The sequence below is a fragment of the Homo sapiens genome, chromosome 6, assembly GCF_000001405.40.
Source record: "Homo sapiens chromosome 6, GRCh38.p14 Primary Assembly".
Classification (NCBI taxonomy): Eukaryota; Metazoa; Chordata; class Mammalia; order Primates; family Hominidae; genus Homo; species Homo sapiens.
Genome location: NC_000006.12, coordinates 30,130,873 through 30,151,053, shown reverse-complemented (window position 1 = coordinate 30,151,053; position 20,181 = coordinate 30,130,873). Strand labels below are relative to the sequence as shown.

General features: G+C 42.8%; 1 protein-coding gene and 1 non-coding gene across 5 annotated transcripts; one reads left to right on the top strand and one right to left on the bottom strand.

Moving 5' to 3' along the window:
- TRIM40 (tripartite motif containing 40) lies at positions 2,319–14,914 on the bottom strand. 4 transcript variants are annotated; one of them, XM_011514306.2, is made up of 7 exons: positions 14,865–14,914; positions 14,456–14,642; positions 13,673–14,321; positions 4,965–5,060; positions 3,845–4,069; positions 3,512–3,534; positions 2,326–3,329 (listed from the first exon to the last, which is right to left on the bottom strand). In XM_011514306.2, the coding sequence occupies exons 3-7, from the start codon at positions 14,015–14,017 to the stop codon at positions 3,242–3,244; spliced, it is 777 nt and encodes a 258-aa protein (XP_011512608.1). In that variant the 5' UTR covers positions 14,018–14,321; positions 14,456–14,642; positions 14,865–14,914; the 3' UTR covers positions 2,326–3,241. The 4 variants fall into 4 exon arrangements, with proteins under 4 accessions (NP_619645.1, XP_011512608.1, NP_001273562.1 ...); NM_001286633.2 differs by lacking the exon at positions 14,456–14,642; NM_138700.4 differs by lacking the exons at positions 14,456–14,642; positions 14,865–14,914 and having other exon boundaries at positions 2,319–3,329; positions 3,845–3,982.
- Positions 18,112–18,249, top strand: LOC124900227 (small nucleolar RNA SNORA48). The gene has a single exon (XR_007059954.1). It is a non-coding gene; the product is annotated as a small nucleolar RNA SNORA48 (small nucleolar RNA).

The window sequence follows — 20,181 nt, the reverse complement described above, 5'->3', positions numbered from 1 at the left end:
TCTCTGTGTCTGCTCTTCTTGCCAACTAATGACACATTCATCATGGATCCCTTCTGAATCTCCGAGAGGACCTGATGGTTTCAGTTAATTACTATTGTCCCTCTTTGATAAGGTCTTCCTTGACAGGTGACCTCATAGACTTGTTTGGCCAATTATCTGCTGTTCAGACTCCCACCCCTGGCCTGATCATCTGTGGTGACGTCAGAAGGGACCAAGGGGGGCCTGGAAGGCATCTTCAGTATAACTGAATTCTCTCCTGAGGAGAGACCCTGGGGGCTGTCAGTCTCCTCCTACTCCTAGTACAAGTTCTCTTGGTGACATTAACTCCATCTGGGATGCAGAAATTGCTAGCTGTCACTTTCAGGGGTGTTCTTTCCTTGGCTAATGTCTTGCTCTTAGATTTGGGATCTTATGTTTCTCTGAGATCTGCAGCTTCTTGCCAAATAACTATACCTTTTTTCTGAACATCTGCACTAGGCTCTTTCTCCTCCCCTCTCCTTCCAGCCCCCAACTCTCTGTCCCAGTCCTTCTTGTGCAAACGATCCAGACTGGCTTTCATTAAACACCACTTCTCCCTTCATTCCTGACTCAGAAACCTCACTATGTCTTGGTGTCATCCATTTAGCCTGTTGACTTCTCGTCTTCCCCATTCCTGAACATTCCAGCCTAACCAGGTTGGTTTCCTCACACTCCTACAAAGGTACCGTGGCTTTTTCCTACCTCTATGCTTTCATTCATGTGGTTATTGTGACCTAGAATGTTCTCACCTTCCTCTCCCACTTGTCCAATCCCCACCTCCCCCACAAAACCTACCCTGACTTTCCCAGGCTCGCTGTTTCTTTCCTCTGAATTCCCAGGGCACTTAGCCTCTGTGATACCTAATTCAGTGCAGTTACACGCTCTCTTCTTATTCTGTAGCTGTTTAGTCATAGTTCCACAGCTAAATTATAAACTTCTGGATGGTGAAGTGGAATTTATTTAAAATTTTTTTATCATTCCATATTTCATTTCAAAAGGGGAAGTGGTTTTTTTAAAAAAAGATGAAATGAAAAAGGATGAGTTCATGTCCTTTTTAGGGACATGGTTGAAGCTGGAAACCATCATTCTCAGCAAACTATCGCAAGGACAGAAAACCAAACACCGCATGTTCTCACTCATTGGTGGGAATTGAACAATGAGATCACTTGGACACAGGGTGGGGAACATCACACACCAGGGCCTGTTTTGGGGTGGGGGGAGGGGGGAGGGATAGCATTAGGAGAAATACCCAATGTAAATGACAAGTTAATGGGTGCAGCACACCAACATGGCACATGTATACATATGTAACAAACCTGCACATTGTGCACATGTACCCTAGAACTTAAAGTATAATTAAAAAAAAATAACAATAAAGCCAGAATACACCAAAAAAAAAAAAAAGATAAAATGAACATATTTGAATGTTTACGTTTTAGACACTTTAGCAGACACTCAGCATGTATTTAATTTTGACAACAATCCCAGGCCACAGGTACCATAACCCTTATTTTAGAGGGGGGAGTACAGAGGTTCAGAGAGGCTAAGTAATTTGCCCAAGGTTACAGAGGCATTAGGTGTCAGGACCGAGACCTAAACTCAAGTCTGACCCTGTAGTTTTCACTCTTTGCACCACCACGTGGCTTGTTTTATAATTGTGGCCATGTTTTATTCCTTATACCTCTCAGTATGGTATTGACTACTTTGGCAAAGGCTCAATAAATACTGATTATAAGGTAATTGATGGCTCTTTTTAATCAGAGGATTGAGAAGAGCCCTTCCTTATGCTTTCTTATTAGTTCACTTATACATACATTTAAAATTTTACTGGACACCAGCTATGAGCCAGACACTGTTCTAGACATGAGGACACAGACAGAATATGATCCCTGCTCACCCAAAGAAGTGAGGCTTATACAAAAATGACTAATATACAATTGTATTCATTATCCATTACTCCACAAAAATTACCACAAATTTACTGCCTTATAACAACACATGGCCAGGCGCGGTGGCTCACACCTGTAATCCCAGCATTTTGGGAGGCCAAGGTGGGCTGATCACCTGAGGTCAGAAGTTCAAGGCCAGCCTGGCCAACATGGTTAAACCCTGTCTCTACTAAAAACACAAAAAATTAGCCGGGTGTGGTGGCGGGCGCCTATAATCCCTAGCTATTAGGGAGGCTGAGGCAGGAGAATTGCTTGAACCTAGGAGACAGAGGTTACAGTGAGCCGACATCACACCACCGCATTCCAGCCTGGGCAACAGAGTGAGACTCCATCTCAAAAACGAAAACAGAAAACAAAAAAACACACACACATTTATTGTCACACTGTTTCTGTGGGTGGGAAATTTTGGCACAGCTTCACTGGGTCCTCAGCTTAGGTACTCACAAGACTATAATCAAGGTGTTGGCTGGACTAGGTTCTTATCCGGCTCAGTTGGGGAAGAATCTGCTTCCAAGCTCACTCGGGTTGTTGGCAGAATTCAGGTTCTTGCAGCCACAAGACTGAGGGCCTCTGCTTGTTGTTGGCTGGAAGCTGCTCTTGGCTCCTAGGAGGGGCTCTAAAAGGGTGGGCCAGCAAGGAGGAGTTCTATACAATGCAACACAGTTGCCAGAGTGACACCCTATCACCTTTGCCTTATTCCATTCATTAGAAGCAAGTCACAGATCCCACTTACACTCAAGGGGAGGGGACCAAACAAGGGCATGAATTCCAAGAGGTGAGGATCATGAAGGGAGGCTGTCTTTGAGTCTGTCTTCCACAACAATAATAAATAAGTGCCAGGTGAGTGGTACAGACAACAAGTACTGCAGGAACTCAGCTGGGCTCCACATGTGAGGTGGTGTCACTGCTGATGAGCTCGGGCCATTCAGAGGCCTGGAGGATCCTATTTGAATGAGATTGTGAGAGATGGGCACTACCATCAGTTTACAGGCAAAATGGAGATTTCACAAATGCTCCTGGAGACCATGGGCCCCGACCTCCACAGTGGCAGCCCCAAGCATGAGCCTGTCCTGGAAGGAGGCTGGCTATCGTCCAAGAGTCAGAGGGTCAGGCATCAGGTGATGACTGTGGACATGAAGAAATGGTGACATGTTCAGGAGCTGGCAGGCCCGAAGATGCACTGGGTAGACCCAGTGGGGGCCTGGACAGGTTGGAGGAAGGAGAGAGAGGAGGCTGAGGTGAGCCTGAAGTGAGGTGTCCCAGGGATGAACAGGTCAGAGCTTCTGAGGGGGCTGAAGAAGCAATTCACTGACTCCTTTCTCCAACTGGGGATAAATAACCTCTAATTTCTGTGGAGCACTCCTAGAAACAAAGAAATCTTTCATAGATTAATATGTATTCATATATTCCATTGGCTCTTCCATTGGCCATGTAGCATCAAGATACAAAAGCTAACGGAGCAGTGGGTCTCCTTGACCTCTGTGCATGTCTGTGTTGTGTGGGTTTATATGCACATGTGGGAAAGAAGAAGGGACAGCTCGTACCTGTTCAGTAAGTCACCAGCATTCTAGGAGAGAGAAAAAGTGAGAATCATAATTGGTTCTCAGGTTCCTATCACCTCCAAATTCCTTTCCCAATTCACTCTTGGAGGCCACTCTGGGGTGCCACCTTGAGAACTGGGGGAACATAGCAACACCCCTCTTCTGTGCCCATTCTGCTGCAGCAGCACTCTGTAGCCTGGAACAAGCCACATCTACCACAAGTCACCACATATCACACAGGCCCCTCCCTCTTACACCTCCCAGAAGGGTGATGCAGATGGGCTGCCTCCTATCGGGGAGAATCCCAGCCCTTGGGGAAGGCCTCAGGGTATGCACCTTCAGTGTGTTGGTGTCTAATTCCTTGGCCGTCCTTTCCAGATCAATGACCAGGCTTCTGAGCTGTGTTACTGCCCTGGAGATGTCAAGGATTCTGGCCGCTTCTGCTGGCATGTGCTCCAGCTGGCCCAGCCACTGCTGAGGGAGGGCACCCAGCTGTTCCCTGGTTTGGTGCTGGCTCTCCGGCCCAGCCTCCAGCCTGTGGTTCCCGTGGTCTACCTGAAACTACAGGAAAGGGGCTCCCTAAGACTCAGTGTCAGGTGGCTCCCTCCTGGCCCTTCACAGTCTCTGAATGTCTGAGCAGGAATGCTGATTCCTCAGTCCTCTTGCCCTCATGGTGTTGCCTCTGTGTGTCACAGGTATAGCAGAAGCAGCTTTGATTCTCATAAAGGCAGGGACACCTCACCTTTCCACCTCACTCTCTGAATATCTACAGATGCCATGTGACCAAGAGGAATAGAAAGGTAGACTGTCAGAGACAGAAATGGAGGCCTATGGCGGCCGGGCACGGTGGCTCACACCTGTAATCCCAGCACTTTGGGAGGCCAAGGCGGGCGGATCACGAGGTCAGGAGATCGAGACCATCCTGGCTAACATGGTGAAACCCCATCTCTACTAAAATATAGAAAAAATTAGCTGGGCGTGGTGGCAAGTGCCTGTAGTCCCAGTACTCGGGAGGCTGAGGCAGGAGAATGGCGTGAACCCGGGAGGCGGAGCTTGCAGTGAGCGGAGTTCGTGCCACTGCACTCCAGCCTGGGCGACAGAGCAAGGCTCCATCTCAAAAAAAAAATAAAATAAAATAAAAAGAAACAGAGGCCTATGGCTTGTGTAGTAATTTTCAGTTGACGAGACACTGGTCTCCTTTGATCCCTACTGTGATCCAGGCAGAGCAGGACTGGTTCTCATTTAACATGTAAGTCACATAAAGATCAGAGGGCTTAACTTGCGTAGGTCACTCAACCAGCAAACTTTGACGCCAAGGCCAACACCCGGGTTTTCAGCCTCCACGACCATCTGCCCACATCAGGCTGTTCCAGGGACAGACAGATGTCCAGAATAGTTAAGTAAGGGCTCCTGAGAACACTCCAGGGAGTCCTTCCCAGGAACCCGAAAAACCCACCTGCAGAGCCTGCAGTTTCTTCTCCTGCTGAGCCTTGAGCCGCTGAAGTTCTGCAATGTCCTTTCTGAGCTTCCTGCTCCGGCGATTGAGTCGTTCCTAAAGAGACAGACACACCTGCTTGTCAGACTGGGAGTGAGGGGGGCACCCACTGGGAGGAGTCAATGGAACACGGTAGGGGGCCTGATCCCAGAATGCAACTAATGTAAAATTCTGCCTAAAAAGAAATGCTTTTAGAGCATCATGGTTGGAGTAAGGGACTTGAGAGTTTATTTATTGGATAATGATGGGGGGAAATAGTAATGGGTAATTTTTTTACAGTCTTAGAAGTACAGAAAAAATAATAGATAGCAACAGAACCATTTCTACTTGACTTCAGGGTGCTTTCTCTCAACATACAAAAGTTATATGACAGTCTTCTAGCACTTCTTACTATTTTACAGTAACACATGGAGCCAGTCTGGAGGGAATTGCCTTAAAGAGGAAATGGCAACCCTCTGCTACCTCTGCTGCCTGGTCCTCACTGGGATGAGTGACAAGATAGAGCCCTTTACTAGGTGCAAACTCATAGCCCAGGTAGGCAGTGCCTTCTCTCTCAATCTTAAATCAGCATCTGGATGTGTCGCTGTGTCCTTGAAGCTATGGAGTTAAAGAATGATTTGAGTTTCTAAAAAAATTTTGCTTTCAGGTTTTTGATGACCTATAAGAGAAGCAAAAATAACAACAAATGCTTTAAATGGCTGCCCATGGTTCGGGGGGCAGTTGGAGGGTGAATGATAAAATAGAAAACAAAACGAGAAGAGATTTGTGAACTAAAGATCAGGATGTGCTATTAGCTGAAAAGTGTGTGTTTCACTAAATCTTTCCCACTTCAGATTTTTTTTTTTTAATCTTTTTTGAGGAGATTTTGGAGATGTACAGGTAGAAGTCAGGGGATGGTGAAGACAACTGAAAGTTCTTTCCAGCCTGAGAATTTCCTGGTGAAATCAAGGTCAAAGGACTGTGTGTGTGAGGGGTCAGCAAGGGCATTTGGTGAACAGAAAGCTGCAGTAAGCAGAGAAGACAGTGATGTCACCACAAAGTTACTAAAAACGTGTCACGTCACTGGGTGTTTCCTGCAGGCATTTCCCAGCAGAGACGAAATAAAAAAGTCATAGGAGTGGGAAGTAATAAATGGGCATCATGGATGTCGCTCATGAGTCTCGCTGAAGAAGGTGGCAGGCTGGTGTGGAACTGTTTGTGCGAGCACAAGAGTTCATGTCCTGAAAAGCACAAACAGCCTTCACCGCTTGCATCTACTCACTTGCTGCCCTCACAGTCAAGTTGTTTGGTGTTGCTGTCTTCACCTCCTCACTGTCGTCATTCCTCAGCCAGCCGCCTTGTTTCTCATCACTCCTTTAAAGCCTCTCTCTCCAAAGTCACCTGAGATCTCCAGCCATGAAATCCGCAGGTGCCTTTCTGTACCTCCTCTCCACCCCATCCTTCCTAGACCTGTGCCTTCTGCCACTGCTTCTTTGCCTCTTCATTTTTTTCTGTAAAAAGGAGCCTTGAAGTTGGCTCCTCAACCCTTTTCTATCTCAGACTATGTCCTTAGCTTTCCTTTCTGGAGCCTTCAGATCTTAGAATTCCAAAACCAAATCTTTTTTCCTAGCAATCCATCTCATGCTTCCAAGTGAGAGCTAAGTGCTGCCTACTGCCCTGTTGGCAGCTCAAAATCAATATGGTAGAATCAAACATGCTGCCCAGTTCCCCAAGCTCTTCTGCAGTCCACTCCTCTTGACCTTCATGTTTCTGACATTGGGACTGCCATTCTGCCTGCCATTCAGCTTGAAATCTGTCACATTTCACCTTTGTTGATGTTAGTCCTCCCTTCAAAATGGCTTCTCAGCAACAAAGATAAGCCCAAACTCCTTCACCCAGCATCCAAGGTGCCCCAGGACCCAGCCCCAACTGACATTGTCCGGGATTCTCTCTCTGCTCACTGAACTCTCTTCACCAGCACACAACATTGCTCTCTGCTTCCCAAACACACCCGTGCAGCCACACCTCCTCATGGCCTTTTACTTCTCTCTGTCAGGAGTGCTTTATTTTTCTGCCTGTCAAAGTCAGGCCTATTAAGGTCCAGTTCAAAAAGCCACAGTCCTATCATCTGGCAGTTTAAAATTTAATAAAGCCAACTACAGACACTGTGTAAATGAAAAAAAGAAGGCAAAGATAACAGTAATAAAGATAAAGGCATAGAATGACTGAAGATAATACTGTCATATTGTTTACAATATTCAAAATGAGTAAGGTAAAGTCCTCTGTTTCTAAAAAGTACTTTTTCACCAATTTTTGCATAAAGGTATTTAATGGGTGCATATAATATAAATAAGACACTCATTAGAATTGAAAAGCTAAATTCTATACACTTTCACCTACCAAAATATTCCTCAGAGAAAAAAAGACAAGTTGAAATCTAGAAAATAGTCGAAGACCTGTCTTGTCTAAATGAATATTTTAAAATTCTGTCATTCAGGTTAAATCATATTAAATTTTTAAAATCTGACAAAAAAGGGCATTAAATTTGTTCTTAAACAACTTGCTAACACAATGTACAAAAGAAAAGTGGTTAACAGACAAAAAGTACCTATCCCTGACACTGAAAAAAAAAAAAAAAAAGAAAAATTAACAGCTTTCAAAATGCATGCTCCTTACAGAACTGTGTCCAAAAATATGAATTAAAAACAACATCACTCACACAATTATGATCTAGAAAATGTCAGAAAATTTTTAAAAATGTATGGTAAATACATGAGCTCAGCAAAGAATCTCATTTGAATCTACAAGTAAAAATTGTCAAAAAAAATAGTGTTGTAAAATACATAGCTACCCTCAATAGAGTCAGGGCACATGAGGTTTAAGTAAAGACAATTTAATATCTGATTCAGATACATAGTGGAAAGCCGTTAGTGATGTATCTTGGTACTGGTTGAGAAGACTAACTAAACCCCCAAAAGTCATGATTCTTAGTAATCAACAAATTTAATGCAATAACCATTAAAATCTTATGGAATGATCTATGAAATTTAGAAACATTGTAAAAAAGCACTCATCTTAAAAGACAGCAAAAATATCAGGTAATAAAATTATTAAATGGCAAAAATGCTGCTAGATTTAAAAATAAACCATAAAGTAACATGTTGTCAAAACTATATAACAGAAAGAATAATCAATGGACTAGAGTAAAAAAAAAACAGCCCATCATGAGAACTTAATTGATGTCAAGCGAGAAACAACACGTAAATGTGGAAAGGACTCACTGTTATATAAATATTTTGGGAACAACTGGATACCAGAATAAAGGAAAATTAACGTGGAGTCATCCTTCACACAACATACTATATGAAATTCCAAGTAAGCCAGGAATTAATAAACCTTTAAAAATAAAACAGAGCAGCACACTCATATTAAACAAATTTCTGTGTATTTAAGACATGGAGATTATATTATAAAAAAGAATAGAGCCAATTTAAATGCAAATTTCTAAAAAGTTGCCCAAAAATATAATTAAGAAGAAATAACAGAATAAAAAAATGTAGGTTAAACAAACACAACTAATGGAGCTCATTATCCAAAAGATAAACTATTTTGATGCAATCATGTAGAATTTATGCCCTGATTCTAGGGGAAAATGCAGACAGCGAGTCTTCATGGATAAAAGCCTCACCACTACTAGCATTCATAATCAAGCAAAGTAAAACAACGTACATCACTGTCACACACTTACTAAACCAGCAAAATACATTAAAGTGATTGACACTGACATTGACTGGTCAGTGAGGAAACAGGTATACAAATAAGAATTTGTAGATTTTATAAATTTTTCGGTCTTTTTAGAGTACAGTCAGGGATTATATGATTCTTTTAAAAGAACAAAATTTACAATACTTAACTACAAAGTTTAATTCAAATAAATAGAGATATGGTGAAAAAATCAGTAAAAAAAAACCCTCCTTAATTTCAAAATTACGCTGTCAATATCCATGAGTACACATAAGGTCCACCATTATAATCACTTCTTCAGAAATATACTCAACTCCCTTACCCTCCCTCTCTGTGTTACTTTTCAGACAACTCCTTATCCATGGTAAAATGTACCATCACCTTCTTGTTTGCTGTCTGTCCTCAGGCAGCCTCCTGAAACATGTTAAACATTTCAGACCTCAAATTGGTGCTACATACTGTCTGCCAACCCTACATAGTTTCTCTTGTAAGCGCTCTCCCACACTGCATCACACCATCTTGTTTCTTTTCAAACCTTTCACATCCATCCTGATCCCACCCATACTGCTGATGTTCCTTCCTCAAATATTATGAGAAAATAAAAACCAGAACAAAACCTGGATTTCCAAAACTGCAAAACTATGTAGGCTTGCAGACACCTTCTCTTGTTCCCTGTTATTACTATGGAAGAAGTGTGCCTCCTCCCAACTCAGCTCTCATGCCTCTGCCACCATCTTACTGAAGTGTTAGCATTGTTCAATGCAATCTATTATAATCTCTTAAAATACCCTTCTCTCTTAGCAGCTGGGGCACCATTCCCCTTGTTTTTCTCCTGCCTTTCTGGCAACTCATCCTGTCTCCTTTGCTGGGTCCTCCTCTGCCTACATCTAAATGACGGCCTTTCCCAGAACCTTACCCCAAAACTTCTTTTTCTGTCTAGCCTCTTTTGAGGCAATTACATCAGTTTCCTTGGTTTCTTGGTTGTTTGTTTCTTTGTTTGAGACAGGGTCTTGCTCTGTCTTCCTGGCTGCAGTGCAGTGGCACAATCACAGCTCACTCCAGCCTCACTCTCTTGGGCTCAAGCAATCCTCCCACCTCAACCTTCCAAGTAGCTGGGACCACAGGCGTGAGCCACTGCACCCAGCCCCAAATTGTCACGTTCTTTTTTTTAAATCCTGTTAATTTCACTTTGTTGTTGCTGTTGTTGTTCTAGAGATAGTATCTCACTGTGTTGCCTAAGCTGGTCTTGAACTCCTGGGCTCAAGCGATCCTCCCACTTTGGCCTCCCAAAGTGCTGGGACTACAGGTGTGAGCCACCGTGCCCGCTTTTCTTGGATTTAAATATTGTCTTTGCCTGGATGGATCTTTGTTCTAGGTTCTAGGAATAAGACTCTGGAGATCTAAATTTGTGATCCAGCTGCGTATGTAAGATCCTATTTTGATGTGTCTCAACTTGGACTCAACTTGTCTTAAATGAAACTCTTGGTGTTGCATTCAAACCTGTTCTACCAAGTTATTATCTTTCACATCATCTATTCAGTTTCTCAAACCAGAAACTCATGAAGTCATCTTTGACCTTCCTCCTTCCTTCAACCCACTTTTTAAAATATATATACTTTAAGTTCTGGGGCACATGGACAGAACATGCAGGTTTGTTACATAGGTATACACGTGCCATGGTGGTTTGCTGCACCCATCAAACCGTCATCCACGTTAGGTATTTCTCCTAATGCTATCCCTCCCCTACCCCCCATCCCCTCACAGGCCCTGGTGTGTGATATTCCCCTCCCTGTGTCCACGTGTTCTCATTGTTCAACTCTCACTTACGAGTGAGAACATGTGGTGTTTGGTTTTCTGATCTTGTGTTAGTTTGCTGAGAATGATGGTTTCCATCTTCATCCACGTCCCTGTAAAGGACGTGAACTCATCTGTTTTTATGGCTGCATAGTATTCCATGGTGTATATGTGCCATATTTTCTTTATCCAGTCTATCGTTGATGGGCATTTGGGTTGGTTCCAAGTCTTTGCTATTGTGAACCATGCCACAATAAACATACGTGTGCATGTGTCTTTATAGTAGAATGATTTATAATCCTTTGGGTATATACCCAGTAATGGGATTGCTGGGTCAAATGGTATTTCTGGTTTTAGATCCTTGAGGAATCACCACACTGTCTTCCACAATGGTTGAACTAATTTACACTCCCACCAACAGTGTAAAAGCGTTCCTATTTCTCCACTTCGTCTCCAGAATCTGTTGTTTACTGACTTTTTAATGATTGCCATTCTAACTGGCAGAGATGGTATCTCATTGTGGTTTTGATTTGCATTTCTCTAAAGACCAGTGATGATGAGCATTTTTTCATATGTCTGTTGGTTGCATAAATGTCTTCTTTTGAGAAGCGTCTGTTCATATCCTTTGCCCACTTTTTGATGGGGTTGTTTTTTTCTTACAAAGAACCCACTTCTAATCTCTCAGTAAGTCCTGTCGATTCAAACTCTAATGATAAATTCTTCAAATATAACAAGACTTCTCAGGTGTGGGCATCTGTATGCACTCCCTACCCCCTGTCTTTGCAGGTTGATTTCTCTTCTGCCAGCCCTCAGCTTCAAGGTCACTTCCTCTATGAGGCCCTCACTGACCAAATGGACATGGGCCACCCATTACTGTTCATCCCAGACCCTTGTTTATTTTCTTCCTAACTAATAAAAAGTTACAGTTCTTTTGGGAGGCCAGCGCAGATGGATCATGAGGTCAGGAGTTCAAGACCAGCCTGGCCAAGATGGTGAAACCCTGTTTCTACTAAAAATACAAAAATTAGCTAGGCCTGGTGGTGGGTGCCTGTAATCCCAGCTACTCGGGAGGCTGAGGCAAAGAATTGCTTGAACCTGGGAGACGGAGGTTGCAGTGAGCCGAGATCATGCCACTGCTCTCCAGCTTGGGTGACAGAATGAGACTCCATCTCAAAAAAAAAAAAAAAAAAAAAAGAAAAAAAAGTTACAGTTCTTTGATTACTTATTTGTGTCTCCCTTACTACACTGCAAACTCCTGGCAGAAGGAATGGCATCTGTCTTCATTGATTCCTAGCACATGCTGCAGTTTCTCACACACAGCAGGAACTTACTAAGTTTTTACTTAATGAACAAGTGTCATCGTTATTTATTTGTTTTAGCTTTCTTGTCATTATTTAAAGACAGATTTGAAACAAGAATTATGAATCATCTTTGTACTTTCTACAATGCCTAGCATGACATCTAACACAAAGGACAGACCTGAAAAAATCATTTAGTGAGGAAATAAATTTCTCCATCTTATGCTGCTTCATCGGCAGGTGAGGAATCCCTCCCCACTCTCCTGTGGACATTGCACCTGGAGGGAATGATGTTAGAACCAAATAGAACTTTGCCTCTGGCTTTTTCAATTATTTCTCTACCTTTCTGTAGTCACTTTTAATCTGGACTCCCCACTTTCTCATTCTGTATCATAACATGTTCTCCAAAAGTCAAGTATCTCAAAGCTACCTCAGCTTTGGAAGTTCAGCCTTCACTATTGGATAGAAGGATGCCATGTGAAAATATTGTCAATTGTCCAGTCAAATACTAACTGGATTAGGGTCAGGGGAAAGGTTGATAAAAATAATTCCAAAGCTAATTGGCAAAATAAAGATATACAAATATCTGCACGAATTCTGAAAAATAAGAGTATTGTGAGGATTCTATCAAAATACCTGACATTAAAATATATGGTAAGGATAAAATCTCTAAAATACCTTGGCTTATAGGCAAGCATAGACAGAATAGAACAGCACAAAGAATCAAGGCAGTATGCAAGAAAATATGCATATATGGTATATTATGACATTGGCATTCAAATCAATGGGGAAACTATATGAATCATTCAACAAATGGTGATAGGACAAATTGATTATAACTTGGAAAAACTAAAGTTAGATTTCTACCTTATGCTCTCACCAAAATATATCTTGGATATTCTAGGTCCTCCAATATATATGTTGAAGGATATTCATTAGAACGTTCTGTGTAATCTTAAAACAAAACAATAGCTTGGAAATGACCCAATGTCTGCCAATTTATGGTACATTCATAGAATTTAATACCACACAGTTCTTGAAAATAATTCAGAAGATCTATACATGCTGATGAGAAAATGTTCAAGCCACACTTTTAGATAACAAAAATGAGTTACAGAAAAAAATATAGAGAGAATCCTTTGAGGGTGTGTGTGTGTGTGTGTGTGTGTAAGAGTGCATTCATAAGCACACACATTTTTTGGAAGGATGTACAAAAATCAAACAATGGTTACCTCTGAGGACTATGAATGGAGGGAGAAAGGAAGACAAATTTTTAGTCTTGACTTTATACCTTTCAGTGCTTTCTGAATTTATTACCTACAGCATGTAACTTTTGTGATAGAAAATTTAACAGAATAAGATAAAATAATTGCCATAGCAAAGAAAGGAAAAGGAAAGATAAGACAAATGCAGAAGGAAGAAAAAGAGAGAAAAAATTATGTAGTAACTTTCAGGTTTTAATATATTTGCAGGATAATTACTAGTGTATATAAAACCTGATTACATTTCTAGCCAAGTTTCTAGTACTATCAACCAGGAGTTCACACAGTTTTAGTCCTGAAAGGGTTTTGCATTAGTTAGTCCAATTACTCTATTCTACAGATGAGCAGACTGGGACTCTAACATCACACTGACAATATCCTCTTTTAGACAGACTCACATTAATGCATGGAAACATCAGCCTCAAAATATACACAGAAAAGCAAGACAAGGGTCCAAAACAGGATGAAGCAGAAGAAACAAAGAGAGATGTCCATTGTTGAGCTACTCTGAGGTGCCAGGCATGATGAACATGTAGGATGCAGCACCTCAGCGAGGTGGAGGCAGGGCCTGGCTGCGGTGACCCAGGCTTACCTTGTAGTGGCTGAGGGCATTTTCAATGGTCAGTTCATGATGAGACATGTGTTCAGGGGACACCAGGCATTCCACACATAGAAGAAGTCTGCTCTCCTCACAGAACCTGCACACCCTCTTCTGGTGGTTGGGGCAGATATAGCCTGTCCCTAGCACCTCCTCAGAACAGGGCTTCCGGCAGAGGGGGCAGCAGAAGACCCCAGAGGCTGAGGCCTTCTCCACATGCTGTGTCAGGCACACTCGACAGAAGAGATGTCCGCAGTTGGTGCTCACGGCCTCCTTCAGGCTCTCCTGGCAGATGGGGCAGACACCCTCCTCCTGGTTGTCCTTCTGCAAAGGGATCATGGCCTCGTTCCTACCCTGTCAGCCTCCTGTTTGCAGGGCCTCCTTCTTCACTGGTCTTCGGAAGGCCTGTTGCCCTCAACAGTCCCAGATAAGAAGGCCCAGTCGGAAGGAGGCAGCCCTGGAGCAGCCTGGGGACAGGACACAGCCTCCAAGTTCAGGCAATTGCCCACTCTCCCTCAAGGGTGCCGTGACATAGACCACACAAACCACAATTCTGCACGAGTTTCAGAAATAGCTCATCAGCTTTGACATGGACCCTGCGGTTTCCTTGTGTTTGTTAAACTTGAAATTATTTTTCATACACCTAGAGGAAGCAAGTGATTCAATAACCAATTCTGTTTTCCTCTTGACAGCTTTCAGTGAATATTTGCACGGGCCCCAAATTAAAAGGGCAAGGTGTCATTGTCATGGCCAAAAGCCAGACCACTATAAACTTACAATTTGAGTCTCCTCTGATTTGCCATCAGTAGAGAGAGTTTGGCAGGAGTTTGGACTGTTTTCTCCTACACTGTCACACCGGGTGGCTCACTGCTGCCCATTATTACCACCAATAATTACAGCAGCATCTCCATCAGCTGGTCATTCTTCCAACCAACATCCCTCCCAGGGTCATATAGATTCCACACTGAAAGAATGAGAAAGAAAACAGGACACAGAACAGACTAGAGACTTGTATAATGTTTGAAGCCACTTTGTTCCTTCCTGTCAAATCACCACCAAAGATGACCCAAAGAAAGAAGTCCCCCGCCACCTGCCACCTCCCTTAGATACTGAGGATTCACTCTTATTCCCTCATGCTGCACCTCTTGCCTAGCCCCACTCCTGAAAAGCTTTCTTAGTATCCTACCTCAATTTCTCCTGCTACAATTTCAGATCATCTTCTCTGGCTCCAGACCTGGAGAGATGGCCAGCAGATGAGTGGTTCTTATATCATGCCAATCATATGTGTTCATATGTCAGTAAATCTCAGGGCGGGGGGTGGAAAGACTCATGCTTTCCTAGAAACACTGAATTACCAGGAAAATTACCTAGGGTAGCTGGAAGGTGAGATGGACTTTGGTGCAGGGCGTGGCTTGTTTGCTCAAGGGGAGGAGGAAGGTCTTGGGCCTTTGACGTCGATATGACAGGAAATGAGACTCAACTAAGAATGGACATCCTAGAACCCCAGCTTATGGAACCCCAGGATCCAGGTGTCACAGAATAATGGCACCCACTCAAGATGCTGGAACATCAAATGCCCACTCCATTGTCTAAGTTCCCTCCAGTCAGGCTAGTCTTGGCATTGAGTTTGAGGGAGCCCCTAAGGGGTGCCACTAATAAGGGCTGTCACTTGAAACTTCTAAGGGTCCAAGACGCTTGTTGAAAACCTCATTTCAGAGCCTCCTCCCTCAATCCCACTTTGCCACTGTTTGCTGTGGGTTGTGTGATCTTGTGAGATATATATATAATTAGTCTTGGCACAGAGCTCCTAAAACCCTTGAACAGATGATCCTTAACTTATGATGGGGTTACGTCCCAGTGAATTCACTGAAGTCAGAAATATTGTAAGGTGAAAGTGTACTCAATACCCCAGTAAACCCATCATAAAGTCAAAAATTTTAAGTTGAATCATCTTAATTCCTGATGCACCTCAACTTACCACATGGTTATGTTCTGATGAGTGTATCTTTTATTATTCATAATAAGCCCTTTTCAACCATACCAGGGTTTATGCTAATGAGGTGACTCTTGGAGGAAGAATGGGGGCTGGTTGGCAGAAGAACCATGTGATTAGAGGGTGGGATCTTTCTTTCTTTCTTTCTTTTTTTTTTTTTTTTTTTGAGACAGAGTTTCACTCTTGTTGCCCAAGCTGGAGAGCAACGGCACTATCTCAGCTCACTGCAACCTCTGCCTCCCAGGTTCCAGCGAATCTCCTGCCTCAGCCTCCCGAGTAGCTGGGATTACAGGTGCACACCACCATGCCCAGCTAATATTTTGTATTTTTAGTAGAGACGGGGTTTCACCATGTTGGCCAGGCTGGTCTCGAACTCCTGACCTCAGGTTACCTGCCTGCCTTGGCCTCCCAAAATGCTGGGATTACAGGCGTGAACCACCACGCCTGGCTGGTTGGAACTTTCAGTCTCACCTCTGACCTCTGGGGAGGGGAGAGGAGCCCAGGGACTGAGTTAATCACCAACAGCCAGTGATTTGATCAATCATACCTAAATAATGGAACCTCTGTAAGATCCTGAACAAAGAGGTTTGGAGAGATTCCAGGTTGGTGAGTGCATCCACATGCTGGGAGGGTGGCACATCCCACACTCCACCGGGGACAGAAGCTCCTGTGCTCAGGATCCTCCCAGAACTTGCCCTTCATCTGGCTGTGAAATTACCATGATCCTGGTGATTTCAAAGACTATGTACATGATCATTTAACACCAAGGCCTTTCAGTTCTTGTCCTGCTCACATCCAATGACCTTTGCTTTTGCCACCCACCCTAGTGGCCACTCTCTTGACCTTGTCAGGATTCAGATTTCACCACCTGAAATTATAAATGTAGGCATTGTACTCACTTATAGTTCTCTTCCTAAGGCATTTCCGACAATGTCTGTTTTTTAACCTTCAATCCTTGACCCCTCCACAATCTACGTTCCTGTCGTATCTCATGAAATAGTATAAGAAACAAAAATGTGGACAGATTAAGTAACCTGCCCAAGGCCACAGTGGTGTAAACATAGAGCTGGGATTCAGATCTGGGTGTCTCTTATCCCAGCCCATGGGCTTCATTACCATAAAATGTCATCTCTCTATATATACCTTTTCTTGCTCTTAGAAAGGATTCAGTAAAAGCTTGATAAATGGATGGATTAATGGACAGATGGAAAGATAGATTGATAATTAGATGTATGGATAGACAGATGAAGAAACAGCACTTTGTACCAACTTATAGTACTGACTATATAGTAACTTCTACTAGTTACTTAGGTACTTTTCTTGATTTTCCTACTGGTTTATTGAGCAACTTGAAGGCAGAAATCCACTGTATTTAACTAGCAGTAGCTTGAGAATGTTTCAAATGTAGAAACCATAAAAGGAAAGAAAGATAAATTCAGCCACATTAAAAAAGACCTGCATGGGGGAAAAAAAACCGTAAGTGCAATGTCAAGAGACAAATGACGAAATACCATTGGAAGAAGAAAAATATTTACAACTGCCATCAAAATCAAAGGGCTAATTACCTTTTATATACAGCTCTTGCAAATAAGAATTTATCAACTACCAAGAAGAAAATTGGGCAGAGGTATCTCAGCAGACATTTCATAGAAAAAGAAATACCAAATGTCTCTAAAGCATATTAAAAGATAATCTCAATCTCATGAAGAAAATACAAATTAAAATAACACTGACATACTATTTTTCCTATCAGATTGACAGAAATCCAAACATTTGGTAACACAGTGTTGGTAAGTGTGTGAGGAAATTGGCACTCCCATACACTGCTGATGGGAATGCCAATTAGTACTCCTCCTTTAGAGGAGTAGGAATTTGAGAATTTCCTCCAAGATTACAAATGTACATTCTCTTTGAGCCAGCAATTCTGATGTTAGAAATTTTACATATATATTCATGCATATGTGAAATAATATATGCATATACCTATTGCATCAATGTTTTAGAAACATTTGCTTCAAATTTTAGAAAAAAAACAAATGTTCATCAACGGAAGTTAAGCTAAATAAACTAGCTACATTCATACAATAGAACATTGTGCAGCCATTAGTAGGGGGTGGGGTGTGGAAGGGAACTTTTGCTATTGGAATAATCTCCAACATAAATTGATACATTAAAAAAAAAAAAGCTTGGCCAGGCATGGTGGCTCACGCCTGTAATCCCAACACTTTGGGAGGCCGAGACAGGTGGATCACGAGGTCAGGAGATCGAGACCATCCTGGCTAACATGGTGAAACCCTGTCTCATTAGCCGGGCATGGTGGCGGGTGCCTGTAGTCCCAGCTACTCGGGAGGCTGAAGTAGGAGAATGGCGTGAACCCGGGAGGTGGAGCTTGCAGTGAGCCGAGATTGCGCCACTGTACTCCAGCCTGGATGACAGAGCCAGACTCTGTCTCGAAAAAAAAAAAAAAAAAAGCTTAATGGTGCCCATCTCACATCAGACAGGAACAAAGCAACCCCCTGTTTATCCCAGCTTGGCTTCTGGTCTATGCCCATGCCTGGTTTATGCTTTGGACACATAGATTACTGATTTTAAAAAATAAAAATAAATTAAATTTAAAAGCAAGGTACAGAACAGTGTGTATAATATGCTATTATTTGCACAAATCGGGGAAGAATAAATATTCTTATTTGCTTTTTATGCAAAGAACATCTCTGGAAGAATATATCAATGAACTAGTAAAATTTGCTTCTGGAGAGAGAAACTAGATGTGTGGAAACCAGGGGCAAGAGGGAGACTTTTTCCTGTGTTTTTAAAATTTTGAGCCAGCAAATGTGCCATCTATCTAAACAATTACCTAAATTTTAAAATGTTTAAGAAGAGGATGGTCAGAATGAAAGGAATTCTGGACTAGTCAAAGAATCTGGATTATGGTCCTAATTGTGGAGATTTGTAGCTTCATGTTCAGGGGCAGCCACAACTTCAGCCTCCTTTACAAGAAAGTGGACAAAATGTCATAGCTGGAAATGGATGTGCTTCATAAACTACAAACTAATGCGCAACTGTCAGGGTCCTTATTTCCCTGAGTCAGCCTATTCGGCATAGCTCCTTGAATATATTAGGTGCTCAGTAACTGTTTTAAAGGAGTGATCTTATCTAATTTCTCATGCTTTAAAAATACTGGAGCCAAGAGTCAGGTGATTTTTGTCTTCTCTCTCTCCTTTATGACTCTTAATTGCCTCTGTTTTGACATTTCCCAGCAGGGAAGACCTAACTCCTACCTCTTTCACACAGCTGCTCCAAACCCTTCACATCAGTGGAAGCCCAGCTCAAGTCCCAGTTTCCTGAATGAAACTTTCCTAACAAGTCAGTCTTCATTCTGATGAATGGGGGCTGAGACCTAGCCCAGAGGTTGCTTGCCAAGCTGTGGGCTCTGGCTCAGGGCAGCAATGGCCCCAAGAAAGTGAACTGATCCATCCTAATTTTCACAAAGGTGTCAGAGGGGCCTGCAGGTTCTACATGGATCTCTCTTTCCTAAATCACCGTCTCATTTATTACCATTTGATTTTTGCCAACTTCCCTGGCTTTGGCTCACATTTAGCTTCATGAGGGATAGGACTATGTCTTTCTGTCTTTCCATACTCTCCTATGCCTATCCCAGGGCTGGGCACCCTAAACCACTCTCTAAGGGTCTCCAACTAAGTCCTAAACTCAAATCCCAGCGGTATTTTCTCAGTTCACATCCAAACTGATGACTCAAACTTTAGATCATCAGCAGTCCCCTCCTTAAAATTCTCCTCTCCACTGGCTCCTGGGTTCCCTCTCACTTATTTGATCATCCATAAAAGGAGATCTACTCTATCTTAGTGCAGCGAGGTGGAGCTACGTGGACTTCACAGGCGGAGTGTCCGGATTCAGATTCCCATTCTACCGATGCACAGTTGTTAGCACTATGCAGATCCTGTAACCTCCCTGAGGCCCGATGCCAGCTTGGTATTACTATCCCTATTGAGTTTAAACTTCTGTGCATTCTTAAGTGTTCCATCACCACCTCAAGTTCAATGTACCTTCGAATTATTCTTGCCTGGATTATCTGCCACCCTCCCCAGAACAGGCAATGAACAGGGTCATTCAGCTGTTTTCGGCAGCTGTCTCTTGATGGACAGTAGGTGGCGCTGTCTTTCAAGACAGGACACCATTTCGCTTCACCTCCGGAAGGTGGAGCATTGTTGCCAAGACTCTAGGGCACTGGCAACCGTCTTTTAAACGGTGGCTTAAAAACTGATAGCATAATTCCTCAGGGCAAGAAACATCTGGCTGTGGAAAGCTAGCCGTGAAATATGTAGACTGAAGATGGAAGGAAAGAGAAGGGAAGGGGAGCATAAAACTGTGTAAGAGGAAGAGGGGTGGCCCAGGAGAGAGACAGAGCCTGCAGGGCTGCAGAAGGCAGGTAACCAACAAGGAAAGTTTACCAGTGAGAAATGTCTTGGGCAGAAATAGTGAAGGAATGTTT